Raw genomic sequence first — 21,744 nt, 5'->3', positions numbered from 1 at the left:
AAGAATTAATAGGAAATAAAAGATTTTTGAGACTTTTCCAGAAGAATGTTGATATTATTTTCAATATTCCTAAAATGTTCTTAGTCAAATAAATATATGTATCAATAAAAATAATCAATTCAAATGGAGAGTATAACACATACTACTAAAAGGGATGCATATATGTACATATGTATGTGTGTGCTTATTTAAGATTCACAATTTAAGAAAATGTAGGATTCACAATGTTCATCAAGGTTTGAAAGTTAATTTATTGCTGAGAATGGTTCTCACTGGTAATATGCAGTACTGGAAGCCACAGCACAGTAGCATTACAGTAATTCATTACAATGGGAAGACGAACCTCACTGAAAAATTCAAGAAACTGAACAGTTAGTTACAGAAGGGCAATTATGGGACCTGGTCTCATTTCATTATCTAAGATGAGTGAGAATAAAATGCAAAGCTGACACATAAATGATGCAAGGCATATTAGGTTTGAGATTTCTTCTTTTGTTTTAATTAAGTTTTTATTAATAAGTGCTTTGAATTATATGATCTTATTTTGATGCTGGCTGTTTCAAAGAAAAACAGTGTACGGGCTTATACTAGATTATGTTATAGTAATGCTAATCACTAATTTTTTTATTACTATGTACCAGATAGTGTGCTAAACATTTTATATATATTATCTCATCTATAACTAACCACATCGGTAGTTTCATTATCTATTTTAACAGAGAAGAAAACTGAGGCACAAAGAAGTTAAGTAACTTTTCCAAGATCACACTGCTAGCAAATAATTGAACCAAGATTGAATTCAGGTAGAATCTGGAGACTGTATATTCCTACTCCTTTATTTTGCATCTTCTAGGTGCTTTTTTTAAATGCACATAATATATTCTCAAGTGTTTTTCATATGATCTATACCCTTAGGAAGGAGAGATCCATTTTCCAAATTTATTTTTAATGCTAAAGTGTTTAATGTCATCTTCAAAGTGAGTACAAAATATGCTTATGTCCCTTAGGACTCAGCTAACTGGTCAAATTACTTAGGTATCTTTTGTTGATTTCATTGGGCAGAATTAATTGCTGTCTCCTCTGTATCCCTCATATAATGTACAGATGCCCATAATATCCATTGCACCTATGTATTTACATATCTGCTTACCTCCAGGGCCTAGCTCAGTGTCTGGAACACAGTAAATATCAAAAAATGTTTGTGGGATGAATCAATAACTCGGGCCAGTCCATATCTTTTCTGTGTCATTTTTCTATATATAATTTCCCCTGCCAGCCACTGATTTGTCTCCTGCTGGGGTAAAACAGAGTATTGTCTTCTCTGGACTTTGAATTAATGTTTTCCCTGTTTACCAAACCAAAGTGGTAAAGAAACTCATGTTCCAAGCAAGGAACATTTTTGACAAATAAATGAGTTTAAAATGCTGAATCCACAGTGTCATGCTGAACTACCTCAAAAAAGAAGTTGCCCAAACTTTGTCCACATTCCCTGGGATAAATGTGGCTCGATGCCATTCTCTCCAAAATCTTTATTATGAAGTAATCTGACCCATAGTTTAAACAGACAGGGAAGTCATAATGTGTCACCCAACATAGACCTTGGGAAAAAAGTCAATCCAGTGCAGACGAATGCATTAGCCTAAAACTATTGTATCCCTTCTTCATTCTCTTATTTGACATTTATTGAACAAATGATGAGTCTGAATAAATGATGGTTGAGGGAGAGGAGGGAGGTTGCAGATTGGCTCTGAGACAGCTGCAGAGAGCAGGGGAACTTTAAGTGGAGCACTAGGACTCAGGTTTAGTCGGGAGACGGGAGAGTGGCAGGTAGACTGGATGAAAAGCACAAGGAACAGCATCAAGCGTATGGGGACATGGGAATGCGTGAGCTCTTGGGCAATTGTGAGAAGTTCAGGGGAGCAGAAGGCTCTTGGAGGAGAGGAAAGAAGGATGTGTTAGCCATACATCAGTTCAATGTAAACATTTTATGGTAAAAGAATACAAGCCACAGACCTGCACTCTAGGCCTACCTCTGTCATGAACTCAGGGCATGGCAGTATGAAAATCCTTTTACACCAGGGGTTCAAAAATCAAATGCCTAAAATGACCAAGCTAGTAAAGATTAATGAATGAGGAGTGTGGGTATAAGACAATAGGAAGTGCTACTGTGTTGTCAGGGGAATATTGGCCCAGTGTCATCCAGTGGTACCAGAACTTTCAACTTTCTAGATAAGTCAGATATCTGAGTTTTTATGTGAAATCTCCAAATTTTAAACTATTGACATCTAATTGAATGTTTTATTAAATATTATACTGGCAAAAAATGCCTATTACTGCTCTACAACACCTGATTTAACTTTCTATTCTATAAAATGACTTGTTCAATCTTCCTCAAAAGATTATTAAAAAGATCAAATCATCTTTAGATAAACACTTAGAGAATTACGATGTGCTATAGCAATTTATGTATAATTTTTATTGTTATTAATGTCACCAATTCTCATTTTTTGCACAAGCCTACTTGTGTCTTGCTTGCTCTTCCTGGTCTTTCTTTTTACTTTATTCTAACAGTAATTCAAAAAAGAGCTTAGCATACAATGGCCTAATATCAAAGGAATTGGCTTAACACTGCGGGGTCAAGATGGGTTGGCATCTCTGTTATCCCACATAATTCAATCAACTTGAGTAATTGGATCTTCTCTTGGCAGTAGGATGGGTATAAACACTTTAAAAACACATTATTTGATTTGATTTATTTATTTATTTATTTTTTGAGACAGAGTCTCTCACTCTGTTGCCCAGGCTGGAGTGCAGCTAATTTTTGTATTTTTAGTAGAGATGGGGTTTCGCCATGTTGGCCAGGCTGGTCTCGAACCCCTGACCTCAGGTGATCTGCCCGCCTTGGCCTCCCAAAGTGCTAGGATTACAGGCGTGAGCCACCACACCCGGCCTAATTTGATTTTATGCACATATATATACTGAGGAAAAATTGCTTTCTGTATACTATATGAAAATGGCTTATTTGTGCATGTGTGTGAATATATATATATCATATATACTGTATATGAAAGTGTATGTGTATATATCATATATACTATATATGAAAATGGCTTTGTGTGTGTGTATATAGATATCTGTATGTGTATATATATATACACACATATATCTATATACACATACATATATATATATATACACACACACACACCCATATATATATATATGCCATTTTGCCTCAGCCTACACAACTCTTGATAATCAAAAGTCCTAAAAAGAGGGCTGGGCATGGTGGCTCACACCTGTAATCCCAGAACTTTGGGAGGCTGAGGTGGGCGGATCACCTGAGGTTGGGAGCTCAAGACCAGCCTGACCAACATGGAGAAACCCCATCTCTATTAAAAAATACAAAATTAGCTAAGTGTAGTGGCACACGCCTGTAATCCCAGCTACTCGAGAGGCTGAGGCAGGAGAATCACTTGAACCCAGGAAGTGGAGGTTGCAGTGAGCCGAGATCGTGCCATTGCACTCCAGCCTGGGCAACAAGAGCGAAACTCCGTCTCAAAAAAAAAAGTCCTAAAAAGAAAACTAATAGTTGGTATTACCCAAGTATATTGGTATATGCAATCAAAATACTCTGAATTCTTAAATTATTATTATTTCTTTTCTACAAAGTAGAGATTCTCATGTACTTACAGAGGTTTTGGTTAATGCTTTATCTTTAACCAATTTATAGGCTTAAAAAAAAAAAGAAAACAAGCAGAACTGATACCAATGACTACTAAAGATGAGTCCCAGAACTAAAGATAACAATTAGATATTATCAGGACTCCCCAGATGAAGTTGCAGAATCTCTTTCTTTCACTTTAAGCCTTTAAACAGGATTTATCTCATTTGTCTCAGATGATTTTACTGTGGTCCTGCCAAACAGTGACCTCTCAAGTTTTCTGCACATGTGCTTGTGCTGGTTGACAGGACTGTACGATTTTCGTGCAATGTATTCAGATCCTCTGTGGAATGTGTACTCTTTTAAGAAACCAAAAATCTCATACGAATCTCATAAATTTTCCCCTGCTGCTGATTGGAACTTCTTCAGAAGCAGTACCAGAACAACCAGGTCTTCTTTAAGTGCTTCTGTAAAGACTTTATTTCTGCAGCTGTAGCTGAGGCTTCCACTGCAGGCAGCCCAATAAGGTTTAGATTACAAACGGGAAATAAACCTCTTGAAGTCGTATTCTGAATGTACCTACCAGCAAGAGTGAAATGAATCACATGCTTCCTTTTGGTGACATTTTACTCTATAACTTTAGGAATCTCAGCAGGAAAAGTGTAGGTTTGCCTAGAAAAGAGAGTAGGAAAAATTTACAAAGAAATGAATAACCCAGAAAAAAAGTAAGGCAGGTGGCCAATCCTGTGATTTTTAACTAGGAATATTAAAACACTGAGCCCTTTGTTTAGATAGCCAAAACAACTCTTTTACATTTTGGAAATAGGGCTTCAACCTCATTTCATCCTCTCCAAGATAGTCCCGGATTAAATGATGAATAGAAGTTGGATACTAAATTTTACAGTCTTCTTTTCTTGAGACAGAGTCTTATTCTGTCACCCAGGCTGGAGTGCAGTGGTGAGATCTTGGCTCACCGCAATCTCCACCTCCGGGGTTCAAGTGATCCTCCAGCAGCCTCAGCCTCACTAGTAGCTGGGACTACAGGCATGCACCACCATGCCTGGCTAATTTTTGTATTTTTAGTAGAGATGGGGTTTCGCCATGTTGGCCAGGTTGGTCTCAAACTCCTGACCTCAAGTGATGTGCCCACCTTGGCCTCCTGAAGTGCTGGGATTACAGGTGTGAGCCACTATGCCTGGCCCTAAATTTTACATTCTGAATATGGCTAAGAACAAATAGTACTGGGAAGATCAAATCGATGTCATCTGCTGTTGATAGTATGGGTTACAGTGAAAAATAATTGGAAGTAGTCAATCCCTGCTTCTCATCAAATTATTTCCCTTTCTCTTTGTCCTCCTACTCCTGTGAGTAAGTAAGTTGGGGTCAAAGGAAAATTTGGGATTGAGTGAGAAGCACCTCAGATGTTGGGGAATGGAAGAAATAGTAACAGAGTCTGAGTTCCAGATTGGGAGAGAGAGATCTCATCCAAAGACTGGGTCTGGTCAGTGAAAATGAGAGGGCGTTGTGAAAACTAGGACTGTGCTCAAGAGAGTTGCAAAATCACAATCTGATGAGGCTTTAGGGAATCTGTAACAGCAAATCAGTCAAAAATGCTTACTTAGCCTCAGTCTCAAACGCACTGGCTCCTTCCTGCCTTTTGATGACCCTTCCCCCGATTCCACTCACAGGAGCCAATTCTAAAGTTCCATCGCTGCATTCTGTCACCCACACAGCCCCCTGCAGCCACATCTGCCAGTGGGTGGACGAAGACAGCAGAACAAACAGGTTTGGGTGTGGTGTGGTTCTTGTCATCTTGCCAAAGGGTCACAGTCATTTTTAAAAATCTTTTCATTTACATCTCAGAATGAGAGTGTGAAATATGATGTGAAAAATCTGAGGCCCCACAAAATGTTTTTTTGTTTTTACAAATAGACCATTTAGTTGAGTTCTTTTCTTGGCTGAATGTCTCTGCCACAGGCTTGGGTCCTTCTTAAGGAGAGAGACTGAGTCATATATTTCTGAAATCCAAAAGTACCTCAAATATAACAGGTGCTTAACAGATCTATGTCGAATAAAGGAACAAATCTTTAGAAAATCTAACATTCTTTTGGGTGTTCTTTTAGCATGGCTATAGGTCAGAGATAGGGAAAGATTTACGATATCCTAGGGAAAGAATCTCGGCCAACTTAAAGTGTAAACTTTCCTAAGTCAGGCAGACTCACTATAAGAGGAAAGCTGACAAATGCTACATTTTATTTATAATCATTAGCCAAATAAACTACTGTGTCTTTGTTACATTAAAATAGTATTTGAGATTTCACCCTTCACCACGTCCACCAGAACAGGCACTGGTGGACACCTGTTCTCCACAGCTGAGAGACCCATAGATGGTTCACATCACAGGACTCTGTGCAGACAATCCCCAGTACCAGCGTGGAGCTGGGTAGACTTGCTGGGTGGCTAGACCCAGAAGAGAGACAACAGTCACTGCAGTTTGGCTCACAGCAAGCCACATCCATAGGAAAAGAGGGAGAGTACTACATCAAGGGAACACCCCATGGGAAAAAGAATCTGAACAACAGCCTTCAGCCTTAGACCTTCCCTCTGATAGAGCCGCCCCAAATAAGAAGGAACCAGAATACTAATCCTGGTAATATGACAAAACAAGGCCTTCAACACCCCCCAAAAATCAAACTAGTTCACCAGCAATGGATCCAAACCAAGAAGAAATCCCTGATTTACTTGAAAAAGAATTCAGGAGGTTAGTAATTAAGCTAATCAGGGAGGGACCAGAGAAAGGCAAAGCCCAATGCAAGGAAATCCAAACAATGACACAATAAGTGAAGAGAGGAATATTCAAGGAAATAAATAGCTTAAAGAAAAAACAATAAAATATTCAGGAAACTATGGACACTTTTAGAAATATGAAATGCTCTGGAAAGTACAAGCAATAGAATTGAACAAGTAGAAGAAAGAAATTTGGAGTTCGAAGACAAGGTCTTTGAATTAACCCAACCCAACAAAGACAAAGAAAAAAGAATAAGAAAATATGAACAAAGCCTCCAAGAAGTCTGGGATTATGTTAAATGACCAAACCTAAGAATAATTGGTTTTCCTGAGGAAGAAGAGAATTCGAAAAGCTTGGAAAACATATTTGGGGGAATAATCGAGGAAAACTGCCCTGGCCTAGCTAGAGACCTAGTCATCCAAATATAAGAAGCATAAAGAACACCTGGGAAATTCATTGTGAAAAGATCTTCACCTAGGCACATTGTCATCAGGTTATCCAAAGTTAAGACAAAGGAAAGAATCTTAAGAGCTGTGAGACAGAAGCATCAGGTAACCTATAAAGGAAAACCTATCAGATTAACAGCAGATATCTCAGCAGAAACCCTACAAGCTAGAAGGGATTGGGGGCCCTATCTTCAGCCTCCTCAAACAAAACAAATGTCAGCCAAAAATTTTGTATCCAGCAAAACTAAGCATCATATAAGAAGGAAATATAGTTGTTTTCAGATAAACAAATGCTGAGAGAATTCGCCATTACCAAGCCACCACTGCAAGAACTGCTAAAAGGAGCTCTAAACCTTGAAAGGAATCCTGGAAACACATTTTCTTGTGTTTCCTCTTTAAAGCATAAGTCACCCAGGACCTGTAAAACAAGAATATAAGCTAAAAAGCAAAAGCAAAAAACAAACAAACAAAAAAACAAAGTACACAGGCAACAAAGAGCACAATGAATGTAACAATACCTCACATTTCAATACTAACATTGAATGTAAATGGCCTAAATGCTCCACTTGAAAGATCCAGAATTGCAGAATGGATAATTAATCACCAACCATCTGATGCCTTCAGGAGACTCACCTAACACTTAAGGACTTACATAAACTTAAAGTAAAGGAGTAGAAAAAGGCATTTCATGCACATGGACACCAAAAGTGAGCAGGGGTAGCTATTCTTGTATCAGACAAAACAAACTTTAAAGCAACAGCAGTTAAAAGAGACAAAGAGAGACATTATATAATGCTAAAAGGCCTTGTCCAACAGGAAAATATCACAATCCTAAACATATATGCACCTAATACTAGTGCTCCCAAATTTATAAAACAATTACTAACAGATGTAAGAAATGAGATAGAAAGCAACACAATAATAGTGGGGGACTTCAGTACAGCACTAGACAGGTCATCAAGACAGCAGTTCATCAAGACAGAAAGTCAACAAACAATGGATTTAAACTATACCTTGGAACAAATGGACTTAACAGATATATACAGAACATTTCATCCAACAACAACAGAATACACACACATTCTATTCAACAGCACATGGAACTTTCTCCAAGATAGACCATATGATAGGCCATAAAATGAGCCTCAATAAATTTAAGAAAATTGAAATTATATCAAGCATTCTTTTAGACTACAGTGCAATAAAACTGGAAATCAACTCCATAAGGGACCTTCGAAACCACACAAATGCATGGAAATTAAATAACCTGCTCCTGAATGATCTTGGGTCAAAAACGATCAAGATGGAAATTTAAAAATTATTCAAACTGAATGACAATTATGATACAACTTATCAAAACCTCTGGGATACAGCTAAGGCAGTGCTAAGAGGAAAGTTCATAGCTCTGAATGCCTATATCAAGAAGTCTGAAAGAGCACAAACAGACAATCTAAGGTCACACCTCAAGGGACTAGAGAAATAAGAACAAACCAAACCCAAAGCCAGCATAAGAAAGGAAATAACCGAGATCAGAGCAGAATTAAATGAAACTGAAACAAACAAACAAAAAATACCAAAGTTAAATGAAACAAAAAGCTGATTCTTTGAAAAGATAAATAAAATTGATACACCATTAGCAAGATTAACTAAGAAGAGAGAAAATCCAAATAACTTCACTGAGAAATGAAACAGGAGATATTACAACTGACACCACCAAAATACAAAAGATCATTCAAGGCTACTATGAACACCTTTACACACATAAACTAGAAAATCTAGAAGAGATGGGTAAATTCCTGGAAAAATACAACCCTCCTAGCTTAAATCAAGAAGAATTAGATATCCCAAACAGACCAATAACAAGCAGCAAGATTGAAATGGTGATTAAAAAATTACTAACACAAAAAGTCCAGGATCAGAAAGATTCACAGCAGAATTCTACCAGACATTCAAAGAATAATTGGTATTAATCCTTTTGGCATTATTCCACAAGATAGAGAAAGAAGGAACCCTCCCTAACTCATTCTATGAAGCCAGCATAACCCTAATACCAAAACCAGGAAAGGACACAACCAAAAAAGAAAACTACAGACCAATATCCTTGATGAACATAGTTGCTAAAATCCTTAACAAAATACTAGCTAACCAAATCCAACAACATATCAAAAAGATAATCCACCATGATCAAGTGGGTTTCACACCAGGGATGCACAGATGGTTTAACATATACAAGTCAATAAATGTGATATGCCACATAAACATAATTAAAAACAAAAAATCACATGATCATCACAATAGATGCAGAAAAAGCATTCAACAAAATCCAGCATCCCTTTATGATTAAAACTCTCAGCAAAATCGGCATACAAGGGACATACCTTAATGTAATAAAAGCAATCTGTGTCAAACCCACAGCCAACATAATACTGAATGGGGAAAAGTTGAAAGCATTCCCTCTGAGAATGGGAACAAGACAGAGATGCCCACTCTGACCACTCCTCTTCAACATCGGACTGGAAGTCCTAGCCAGAGCAATCAGACAAGAGAAAGAAATAAAGGGCATCCAAATCAGTAAAGAGGAAGTCAGACTGTCATTGTTTGCTGAAAATATGGTCCTTCACCTTGAAAACCCTAAAGACTCCTCCAGAAAGCTCCTAGAACTGATTAAAGAATTCAGCAAAGTCTCCAGATACAAGATTAATGCACACAATTCAGTAGCTTTTCTATACACCAGCAGCAACCAAGTGGAGAATCAAATCAAGAACTCAACCTCTTTTAAAATAGCTGTAAAAAAAAAAAATACTTAGCAATATACCTAACAAAGGAGTCGAAAGACCTCTACAAGAAAATCTATAAAACACCGCTGAAAGAAATCATAGATGACACAAACTAATGGAAACACATCCTATGCTCATAGATTGGTAGAATCAATATTGTGAAAATGACCATACTGCCAAAAGCAATCTACAAATTCAATGCAATCCCCATGAGAATACCACCATCATTCTTCACAGAATTAGAAAAAACAATTCTAAAATTCATATGGAACCAAAAAAGAGCTCGCATAGCCAAAGCAAGACTAAGCAAAAAGAACAAATCAGGAGGCATCACACAACCTGATTTCAAACTATCCTATAAGGCCATAGTTACCCAAACAGCATGGTACAGGTATAAAAATAGGCACATAGACCAATGGAACAAAATAGAAACTCAGAAATAAACCCAAATACTTACAGCCAACTGATCTTCAACAAAGCAAACAAAAACATAAAATGGGAGAAAGGACACCCTTTTCAACAAATGGTGCTGGGATTATAATTGGCTAGCCACATGTAGGAGAATGAAACTGGATCCTCATCTCTTACCTTATACAAATATCAACTCAAGATGGATTGAAGACTTAAACCTAAGACCTGAAACTATAAAAATTCTAGAAGGTAACATTGGGAAAACCCTTCTAGACATTAGCTTAGGCAAGGATTTAATGACCAAGAACTCAAAAGCAAATGCAATAAAGAAAGCTAAATAGCTGGGACCTAATTCAACGAAAGAGCTTTTGCATGGCAAAAGGAACAGTTGACAGAGTAAACAGACAACCCACAGAGTGGGAGAAAATCTTCACGATCTATATGTCTGACAAATGACTAATATCCAGAATCTACAATGAACTCAAACAAGTCAGTAAGAGAAAAACAAACCATCCCATCAAAAAGCAGGCTAAGGACATGAATAGACAATTCTCAAAAGAAGATATACAAACGGTGAACAAACATAGAAAAAACGCTCAACATCACTAATAATCAGGGAAATGCAAATCAAAACCACAATGTGATACCACCTTACTCCCACAAGAATGGCCATAATAAAAAAATTAAAAAACAGTAGATGTTGATGTGGATACGGTGATCAGGGAACACTTCTACACTGCTGGTGGGAATGTAAACTAGTACAGCCACTGTGGAAAACAGAGTGGAGATTCCTTAAAGAACTGAAAGTAGAACTACCATTTGATTCAGCAATCCCACTACTGGGTATCTACCCAGAGGAAAAGAAGTCATTATTTGGCCGGGCGCAGTGGCTCACGCCTGTAATCCCAGCACTTCGGGAGGCTGAGGCAGGCGGATCACGAGGTCAGGAGTTCGAGACCAGCCTGACCAACATGGTGAAACCTCATCTCTACTAAAAATAAAAAAATGAGCCGGGCATGGTGGCGTGCGCCTGTAATCCAAGCTACTCAGGAGGCTGAGGCAGGAGAATCGCTTGAACTTGGGAGGCGGAGGTTGCAGCGAGCCGAGATTGCGCCACTGCACTCCAGCCTGGGTGACAGAGCGAGACTCCATCTCAAAAGAAAAAAAAAAGAACTCATTATTCAAAAAAGACACTTGCACAAGCGTGTTTATAGCAGCACAATTCACAATTGCAAAACGTGGAACCAACCCCAATGCCCATCGGTCAATGAATGGATAAAGAAACTGTGATATATATATATACATACGTACATACATACACACACACACACACATAATGGAATACTACGCAGCCATAAAAGGAATTAATTAACAGTATTTGCAGTGACCTGGATGAGATTGGAGACTATTATCCTAAGTGAAGTAACTCAGGAATGGAAAATCAAACATCGTATGTTCTCACTGATGTGTGGGAGCTAAGCTATGAGGACGCAAAGGCATAACAATGATGATGGACTTTGGAGATTTGGGGGGAAGAGTGGGAGGGAGGCAAGGGATAAAAGACTACAAATATGGTGCAGTGTATACTGCTCGGTTGATGGATGCACCAAAATCTCACAAATCACCACTAAAGAACTTACTCATGAAACCAAATATCACCTGTACCCCAATAACTTATGGAAAAAAAATAGTATTTGAAAACATTCTGTATAAGGCAATGGTGCTTAATATTTTGGGGTTTAAAAATACTTCTAGAAATCCAAAGACAGCTATGGACTCTTTTCTGAGAAATATGCACATTCATGTCTATTCAGAAAACAAAACCCATTTTCTTTTCTTTATTTACTTTTTATTTTTGAGATAGAGTCTCATTCTGTCACCCAGGCTGCAGTGCAGTGGCACTATCTCAGCTTAGTGCAACCTCCTTCACCCTGGTTCAGACGATTCTCCTACCTCAGCCTCCTGAGTAGCTGGGATTACAGGTGCCTGCCACCATGCCCAGCTAATCTTTGTATTTTTAGTAGAGACAGGGGTTTCACCATTTTGGCCAGGCTGGTCTCGAGCACCTGACCTCAGGTGATCCACCCGCCTCGGCCTCCCAAAGTGCTGGGATTACAGGCGTGAGCCACTGCGCCCGGCCCAAAACAACCCTTTTTCACGAACATTCTAAAGCACTTTCATGGACAAACCTGTATACCAGGTTAAGAACTTCCATAAAGGCAAAGCCCTTGAATGGTGACCTTCAAGGTCCAGAAGAGGGCTTTTAAGAAAAGGTTTATTTTAAGGTTCAGAACAATAGACTCCTATATAGCGTTATCACACATTCCATCCATTCCAAGAGACTGAATTGAAAGAAACAAATATGCACATGGAGCTGCCCCCTCTCTGTGGAGGTAATGGAATTTTCATGCACACACCACAGGGTAGAAGAATTCAAAGGCGCTTGTTTAAGCCAGATGACATGCAGCCACGTTATGGCCAGACCACACTAGCCTCACATCCAAAGAGACACACACAGTAGGTTCACTGCAGTGAAGCATATGAAACATAGTAGAGGTATGGAGTTTGTGCCTTTGAAGCTTAACGTCAATCTTAAGATAGTTCCTAAACAAATGAAAAAAGAAATTACTGTCATTAATCACTCTCTGATTCTTAACAATATTTTTTTCCTCAGTCCTAAAATTTAAGCCGATTACCAGCCATTCCCTGAGATTCAAAGGCCAGGGAAGAACTTGCATGAGAAAACAATGTGTATGCATCTCAGTTGTCTTTTCTGACCCCTCATCTCCTCTCTTTCCAGCAACAGCTTCCTTCCTGTAATACTTTCCTTCTTGCAATGGCAAAGAAAAAGAAAAATACACACACACACACACACACACACACACATATATATGTATATATATGGAACTTTCTAACTGAGCCAACTTCAAATTGCCAAACCAAAATCTGGAAGGTTGCTTTTTAAAATGCTTTTGTAGCCAAACAGATGTATTTCTAAATTTTACTTCATTCACTGGCTTCTCCCCACTATATTTAGGATTCATTGCTCATTTTCTTATCATTTTCCATTTCATTGCTTTTGTTTCACATTCAAGTAACTGTAGGTCAAATGTACTCCAGACTATTCTGTTAAAGACGTGTTAAAATCAAATAGAAACTGCATGATTAACGATATGAATCATCCATTTTATAAAAAAACAAGAAAGTAAACAAGTGCTTGGCAAAGCCCCACCTGCTTTGCTGCTGTTGCGGTGCTATGCATATGGTGAGGAAAACAATTCCCCCTTCTCAAGGCTGAACTAAAATTAGGCTCCACCTGCAAGATGTTAATGAAAACTTACACAGCTGCATTCCAGAAACAAGTTACACAGATTGCTTTTGGAAAGCTCTGTGTAAAAGCAAACTTGTTAGCTCTTTGCCTAGTTCCCAAACTGTAGTATTAATTTTAATGTCAATTATTAGCACAATAACCAACTGATAAGTAACCTCAAAATAGATCTGATACATCCGATAGGAAATACACCGGGACTTTATCCACACATATTGCTGAGTTTAACCCTTTACTCACACATGCATTCTTCCTGTCTCTTCTTTGGCACTGGCTTTCAAACAGAAGACAGGAGAACATGTGAAGTCACTGGAATGGGTCCCAAACAGTTCCAGTTCACATGGAGGCTCCCCTTATCCACATGCTGCTTACTGGCAAGAAGAATGAGAAGCACATGCTTCCTTTGCCCTCCATCCCTTCTGCAGGTTCTCAAGCTTTCTTTGGTAAAGACTCAAATAGGAACCAAATTACATCAGACTCACATCCACCTTTCTCTTACAGATTTAAGATATAGAGGCAGCTGGTGAATTCTTACCAGAGCAAGCAGTCTCTCTGCTTCATTTCCAGGTCAAGTCTTCACAGCTCTGTTCTATAGGCCAAAGGGCTCATTCTTGATCCTCATTACTTTCCTAGGTCTTACTATAGTGCTTATCCTTGGAGGGAAGATGTATTATAGTTTAATTATTTAGTAAACTATGTGTGTCAAAAAATTCAAGAAGCTGCCATTGGGGGATGGAGGATCTCTGCCTTTTAAAAATCCCAGCCTTGAAAAAAATTCCTTTTCATCACTTCCTTTACTTGTAATTTCTTTAGTTTTATCAAGGAGCAGGAAATGCATGCAGTTGTTCTGAGTTGATCTATGTTCCCAACATTGCAGGTGTCATTGTATAGATTCTTAATATTTTCATACTTGCCCCTTCTTTAAGGCTCTGATACAATTTAAAAAAAATTTTTTTTCTGAAAGTCAAATAGGCTGAATTGGATCTCGAGCGGCAAAGTCAATTTCTGTTAGAGATTAAATAATGGAGAAAACAGCAATGCTAACAAGTAGAAGAAGGCTGCCTTTCATTACCCCATCTGATTTCATTAGCCTAATTCACGATTATTAATTATCGGTCTGATGAGATCATCAGTGTAAGCATGCCAGCCTCATGATGGTTGCATTTGGGGAATATTCAGTCTTTTTCAAGATTTCTACATAGCCCTAAGCCGACATTCCGGTTTCATTTCCATTTTCGGCTGCTGCCCTACTCAATAAATGTATCTGAACCGCCTATGAAATGAACATTGCTGGAATAAACAGTTTGTTTACTACCCAGACCTGCTTTGCAACTGTCAACAAAGAAATATAAGAAGAGATTTAAGTTTTCATTCCTAGATAGTGAACTCCTCTGTGTTTCTACAATGCAAGTCATTACAGACTCAGCTGCCCCCTGAGATTGAGCAATTCTTGTGCACATTGTAACAAAGGGCTGCCGATCTGGCAGTGTGGGAGTGGACTGGGCCACTTAGATAAGTTTCATTCACTGTAGGAGCCCAAGGGAACAGTGCATCAAGGCAGCTGTGCTGCCTCGGTTCATGGTGTAACTTTACACTATTTTCCCTTTAAGTCGCTACTAATCCCTTGGGTTTACATGTTTTTTGGGGCTGCATCAGAGAAAAGCAGTGTGAAATTGCCTGAAAGCCTCCTTATAAATAAGACTTACAATATAGACCAGCTCAGTTGATGAAAAGACTGAAAGAAATGCTCTTGAGGGTCCCAAGAACCATTTTACGAGGTTCCCACTGTGATTTTTTTTGGTCTCTGCTTAGTGACTGCTAAAACAAATTACTAACTAAATTAAAATCCCATTGGCCCCAAATTCAGAAGTAAACAGATCTTTAGCATGAGGTACTTCCAGTCTACATATTTATTAACAAATATTTCTTGTTTAAACTCTATCTTCTCTTTCTAGAAAATATTACTCCTTTGATAAATAGAAAAAGGAGAAAGCAAGAAAAGCAAGAAACCTAGTATAGCAAAGGTTGAGACACTAGGCTAAGGTTCCAGGGCCTCCTGGATTTGCTTCCTAAAACTATGTGCAAAGCACTGGTGTGGACCAGGTATAGGCTTCCTGGCTTTTAATTCTCAGCTCAACACTTTGAGGTATTATTGCTCCATTTTAAAGATAGGGAAACCGAGGCTAGTAAATGGAAGAACTATTAATTTAGTATGGGAGTGTCTTACTTTAAAAGAATCCTGTTTTTTTTTTTTCTTACTACCATCCAGAGAAGCTGGAAGACCTGTCCTCATTAGCCAAGAAGATATAGAGAGGCAAAAGATAAACACTCTTCCCTCTTTATTCCTTTGGGTTCTTCATTACCACCAGTGGATCTCTCATGTTGACTCTTAAGATTCTGGAAATTGGCCTGACCTCCTACCCTATTCCCCTTATGGAAACACTGACTCCTCTTACACCTCCCATTTTTCTTACACTCAATCCTGTCCACCCAGCCTGCCTCCCTGTTAGTTTTCCTACTCTCTGAATCCTCCTACAAAGAGCCATTTGGAAACAATTTCGAGGTCCACCTACTTTCCTGTGCATCTGTCTTTTGTAATTTAGAGGAGGGACTGTGTGTTTTCTCCTTGTCATGTTTATGCCTCATATTCTGTGGCTACCTAATAAATGCTGAATAATAGCAGCTTTATGACAGTGCAGAACCAGAAACACCGGTTCTGATATTTAGTATTTCATCACCAACAAGGAACATTTATTCACTGTCAGCACTATGCTAGGCACTAACTGCAGTTAATTACCAAGGCCTGCCTCTAACCTTTGCACACCAGGATGTTTGGCTTTTTTCTCTTATTTTCCCGACAAAAGAAAAAAATGGGACCACCTCGGAACCTTCTCATTAAATTCACAGCATCCTGAAGAGAAAGGCCTGTACTGTTTAATAGAAGGGGAGACAAGATACAGAGCATGCTTAATGCGAACTCTGAGAGGTAGTGGCAAAGTCATACATAAAGGCCACTTTGCTGTTATATACATTCCTGGCTTTCCTTTGTGCTAGCATGGAAAGGGAAGAATGGACAATCTGAAATGTGTATTTTCCAGGAATAACAAAAATACCTCTGTGTTCATGCTATGTCTAAACAAGTAGAGTAAATTAAACTTCAAAATTTAGGCCAAAGATACAGTTGCTTGTAATATCAACATAAGTGATTCAGAAAGGTTGTTGTTTTGTTTTGTAGACATCCCTAAATAATTATCCAAATTCTGTTTCTTTTGCTTGCCTGCGTAGACAGAGGCTACAACTACACTATAAAAATAAAAGGCCACTTTCAAATTTGGGACTTATTAATTCATGAGCTAACCCATTATAACACCATCGATTTTTTTGTTGTTCTCAATTGTTAATTCAGTAAGTATTTATCAAATACTGCCACATGTTTGGCTCTATGCTATACACTGGAGCTCAGAGATCAGAGTAGAGACAGACATGTAAACAAGTTACTAAAGAAATATGGTGTGGTATAATGGATATAATTATAAGTCCTGCAGGAATGATAAATTCTTCCTATGTGCTCTGAGAAGGCTACATATGGGAGGTGACATTTCAGCTGTGTCTTAAAGATGAATAGTTGTTCACAGTCAGAGGGTGGGAAATACATCAAAGGAAAAGGGAACAGCAAGTGCAAAGATAGAAGTTCAGAGAAAATAATAGTATATAATGTATTTGTTACATAGGGTATATGATGAGAAATGGTAGAAGATGATGTTAAACTCCTTAGTGATGAAGTCCCTTGCGTGTCACTTTAGGGAGATTAAATTCTGTTTTATGGTCATCAGGAAGGCATCGAAAGTTTTAAACAGAAGGATAATGTGATTGCATTTATCCTCTAGAAAGATAATTCAACATAAAGAATGGGTTGGCAGTAGTTGAGTCTTCGGGTAAGGGTGAATTACACGGTCATTATTTTAGTCGAGGCCTGAGGTAACGAGGGGCTTAATTTAGACAGTACAAAGGAAGATGAAAAGAAGAAAATATAATTGAGAGATATTTAGGAGATAGAAATGACAGGCCTTGATAACTAATAGGACACGTGGGAGACAGAGGTCAACTTGAACAGTTTTCTAGATGGTGATGCTTCTAAGGGAAAATATTACTATCATTTTGTTGCACCCCATCCCAAATATTTCAGGAGCTATACTGAGTTATTCCTTTATGCTAGTTTATTCGAATCTTACCATAGCAATGTGACATAAACAATAGGTGGTTTTATTCCGGCTATATGAAGCTCAGGAAAGTTAAGACAGTAGTCCAGTCTCTCAACTAGATCACAAGGAGTTGGGATTTGAACCTGAATCTTCCGTTTAAAAATCCAATGAGTTGGGCCAGGTGTGGTGGCTCATGCCTATAATCCCAGCACTTTGGGAGGCCGAGGCAGGCAGATCACCTGAGGTCAGGGGTTTGAAACCCGCCTGGACAATGTGGCGAAACCCCCTCTCTACTAAAAATACAAAATTAGCCAGGCGTGGTGGTGCATGCTGGTAATCCCAGCTACTTGGGAGGCCGAGGCAGGAGAATTGCCTGAAACCGGGAGGCAGAGTTGCGATGAGCCGAGATCGTGCCATTGCACTCCAGCCTGGGCAACAAGAGCGAAACTCTGAAAAAAAAAAAAAAAGAATAATCCAATGAGTTGGCCAGGCACAGTGGCTCACGCCTGTAATCTCAGCACTGCGGGCAGATCACGAGGTCAGGAGATCGAGAACATCCTGGCTAACACAATAAAACCCTGTCTCTACTAAAAAATACAAAAAAAATTAGCCAGGTGTGGTGGCGGGCGGCTGTAGTCCCAGCTACTTGGGAGGCTGAGGCAGGAGAATGACGTGAACCTGGGAGGTGGAGTTTGCAGTGAGCTGAGAACGCGCCACTGCACTCCAGCCTGGGCGACAGAGCAAGACTCGTCTCAAAAAAAATAAAATAAAATAAAATAAATCCAGTGAGTTCTGTACACATTTCCACAGTCTCCAGGTAACATGCATGCAATTTCCCCCTTAAAACCTTGTTAATCAGGGCCCAGGATGGTGGCTCACGCCTGTAATACCAGCACTTTGGGAGGCCAAGGTAGAGGAATCACTTGAGTCCAGAAGTTCAAAAACAGCCTAGTCAACATAGTGAAATATTATCTCTACAAAAAATTTTTTAAAAATTTGCTGGGTGTGGTGCTGTGTTCCTGTAGTCCTAGCTATTCGGGAGGCTGAGGTGGTAGGATCACTTGAACCCGGGAGGTTGGACTGTGATTGTACAACACTGCACTTCAACCTGGGCAGCAGAGTGAGATCCTGTTTCAAAACAAAACAAAACAGGCCGGGCGCGGTGGCTCTCACCTGTAAGCCCAGCACTTTGGGAGGCCGAGGCGGGCAGATCATGAGGTCAGGAGTTCAAGACCAGCCTGGCCAATATGGTGAAACCTCATCTCTACTAAAAATACCAAAAATTAGCCAGGCATGGTGGCATGGTGGCGGGTGCCAGTAATCCCAGCTACTCAGAAGGCTGAGACAGGAGAATTGCTTGAACCTGGGAGGCAGAGATTGTAGTGAGCTGAGATCGTGCCATTGCACTCTAGCCTGGGCAAGAAGAGCAAAACTCCGTCTCAAAACAAAAACAAAAAACAAGACAAAAAACCTTGTTATGGGTTTTTGAATCAAAACAAACCATAAATTTGATCAGTAGGTGTTAGGACCAATTTAAAACCTTCATTTTGCGTGAAATCATTTTCTTAAAACTGTTTATTTGCCGGGCACAGTGGCTCATGCCTGTAATCCCAGCACTTTGAGAGTCCAAGGCAGGTGGATCATGAGGTCAGGAGATCAAGACTATCCTGGCTAACATGGTGAAACCCTGTCTCTACTAAAAATAGAAAAATCAGCTGGGTGTGATGGCACACGCCTGTAATCCCAGCTACTCGGGAGGCTGAGGCAGGAGAATCCCTTGAGCTGGGGAGGCAGAGGTTGCAGTGAGCCAAGATCACACCACTGCACTCCAGCCTGGGTGACAGAGTGAGACTCTGTCTCAAATAAAATAAGAAAAAAAAAAAAAAACAGTTTATTTTTCCAATGCCTGGACAAATTTCTTTGCTGCTAAAAACAATAACAAAAACCCAGAAAATAAGCTTAAACTTCTGTTAACTTATTTATAATTTAAAAAACAGTGACACCTCTTTGTTAAGAAAAAAATCTTTGCCACAGTGGAGTCCATTAGAATTAAGGCCTCATACATGAGTAGAATAACATAAGTTTTCAAATAGTAAATCACCTAGGTTTCAGCTCATTGGAGATTTGACTTTCAATTTTTCAGTATTACTGATTCAAAATACTTAGGAAGCTATATTGTCAAATTAAAATATTTCTAAAGTTAACTGAGCAGAAGTCTCTTCTTTCCTAACAGCACCATAGGCTTTTATTATGTAACAGGCTATTAGATGGAAACAAAAAAAGTTATGCTCTTTTGTGTTGAGACCACCTAATTTTCCTCAATTATCTCTACTTCTCAGTTATGTTATTTCGTTTCAGTGTGGTGGATCCTTTATTTCCCAGGATCTTCTTTTGCCTTTGTACTGATTTGGGAAGGTATTCGTTTGCATGAGATACTTGCACCTGGCCTGAAATCTGTGAAAGGGAAAAGGATGAAAAAGAGAAAATGATATGGCCTCCAGCACTTTCTTCTTTCTTTTTTTATTTTATTTTAGTTTTTATTTTTCATATGAAACAGTTTCCTGCAAGGATCTTCTATATACAGTGGAAGATGCTTTTGATATGTAGATCAAGCAAAATGGTAAATACATAGCCCTCTCTTTTCAAATATTCCCTTATTCTACAATGTGCCTGTAGTGCCAATTTCTTTGATTTCCATGAGGCCTACCCTTGGGTTTGTATTGTAACTTGGTATCTTTCCATTGTCTCTTACCACAAAAATTCCTTTTAAGAAACTGCATTCAGAATTGAATCCATCAAACTTCAGCTGCTCATTCTCCTCCTCCTTATGGAAGATTTAGTGACTAAGTCTTTGCTTTGATTTTCTCTCAAACTTTGAGGGTTCTTACTTTCTCTCCTAATTGCAACAATTTGGTGTCCCCTTTTGCTTGGGCGCAAATAAAAACAGCAACAAATGGTTAAAAGACATGGGGGCGCACCGGTGCACATGCCTGACTAGCTGATGGACTGCAAGTTTGGGCTGTCAGGAAAGAGATCTTCCCACAGCACCATGCACTGGCAATTTCAACATGCGTGCTATGCCTGGCACAGTGGTAAGTGTTCTACGTGCATTAGAGTTCTCCTAGGAGGACCAATAAGGCAGGCCATGGTATTACTTCCATAGTTTCAGATTAGAGAATTGGGTCTAAAAGATTTTAAGAATCTTTCTCAAGGTCATTCAACTACTAAGTCCTAGAACTGGTCTGTGAACCCAAGTTTTGTTTATGTTTCAAGGCAAAAAAGGTAAACTTTACATGAAACTTTACAAGAAAAACACTATTAAAATTCTTAAAATTTTATATTAAAGACAGATTCATTAGATATAACATATTTTAAAATGTGATTTTATTTTATCCAAATTGCATTCAAGTGTTAAATTTTGAAATGTTGCCAGGACTCAGATAATTTATAAAAATTATTTACATGGGTCATTTCTGAAAAGGTCAATATGATGATTTGGTGATCTTAATGAACAAGTGGATCATCCCACAAGCATTCATTCATAGTTACTGACATTATAATGATTTGATTCAAACATTATAACCTCCATTATTAGAACATACTGGTTAGACTGCTATGGGAAAATTTTTAAAAAACTAGAAGAGGCTGGGTGCAGTGGCTCACGCCTGTAATCCCAGAACTTTGGGAGGCCGAGGCGGGCAGATCACGAGGTCAGGAGATCGAGACCATCCTGGCTAACACGGTGAAACCCTGTCTCTACTAAAAAAATACAAAAAAATTAGCTGGGCGTGGTGGTGGGCGCCTGTAGTCCCAGCTCCTTGGGAGGCTGAGGCAGGAGAATGGTGTGAACCCGGGAGGCAGAGCTTGCAGTGAGCCGAGATCGCGCCACTGCACTCCAGTCTGGGCGACAGAGTGAGACTCCGTCTCAAAAAAAAAAAAAAAAAAAAAATAGAAGGCACAGTTTCTGTTCCTCAGGGCTCACCTTCTAGTAGCATATATAGGATAACTCTACAAATATACACAAACCATATTAGCAAATATGCACAAATTCTATTGTTAGACCATAGAAAAGTGAGACAATAATTCTGACTAGAGAAATACAGAGTTCCTGAAAAGAAGGAATTTTGT

The 21,744-nt window shown here is 38.9% G+C and overlaps 1 protein-coding gene across 8 annotated transcripts in view, besides 1 other annotated feature; it reads right to left on the bottom strand.

The window, feature by feature from the left end:
* Nucleotides 1-21,744, bottom strand: part of ADGRL2 (adhesion G protein-coupled receptor L2) — a 687,801-nt gene that overhangs the window by 298,857 nt on the left and 367,200 nt on the right. For 4 of the 8 annotated variants that reach the window (XM_047416152.1, XM_047416118.1, XM_047416159.1 and 1 more), the window contains exon 6: nucleotides 4,248-4,336. The exons of the other annotated variants lie outside the window; for them this stretch is intronic. The gene's annotated coding sequence lies outside the window, so the exon portion shown is untranslated. The remainder of the gene's footprint in view (nucleotides 1-4,247; nucleotides 4,337-21,744) is intronic. 8 annotated transcript variants of the gene reach the window in all.
* Nucleotides 12,227-12,795: an enhancer, noted in NCBI's record as "OCT4-NANOG-H3K4me1 hESC enhancer chr1:82147966-82148534 (GRCh37/hg19 assembly coordinates)". NCBI's record gives its function as "activates a minimal SCP1, AML or CMV promoter by ChIP-STARR-seq in primed H9 embryonic stem cells {active_cell/tissue: H9 hESC(primed)}" and the evidence as "EXISTENCE:reporter gene assay evidence [ECO:0000049][PMID:30033119]".

Source organism: Homo sapiens, chromosome 1 (assembly GCF_000001405.40).
Source record: "Homo sapiens chromosome 1, GRCh38.p14 Primary Assembly".
NCBI classification, from domain to species: Eukaryota; Metazoa; Chordata; class Mammalia; order Primates; family Hominidae; genus Homo; species Homo sapiens.
Note: the sequence above shows the minus strand (reverse complement) of the source record. Positions and strands in the feature narration are given on the sequence as shown.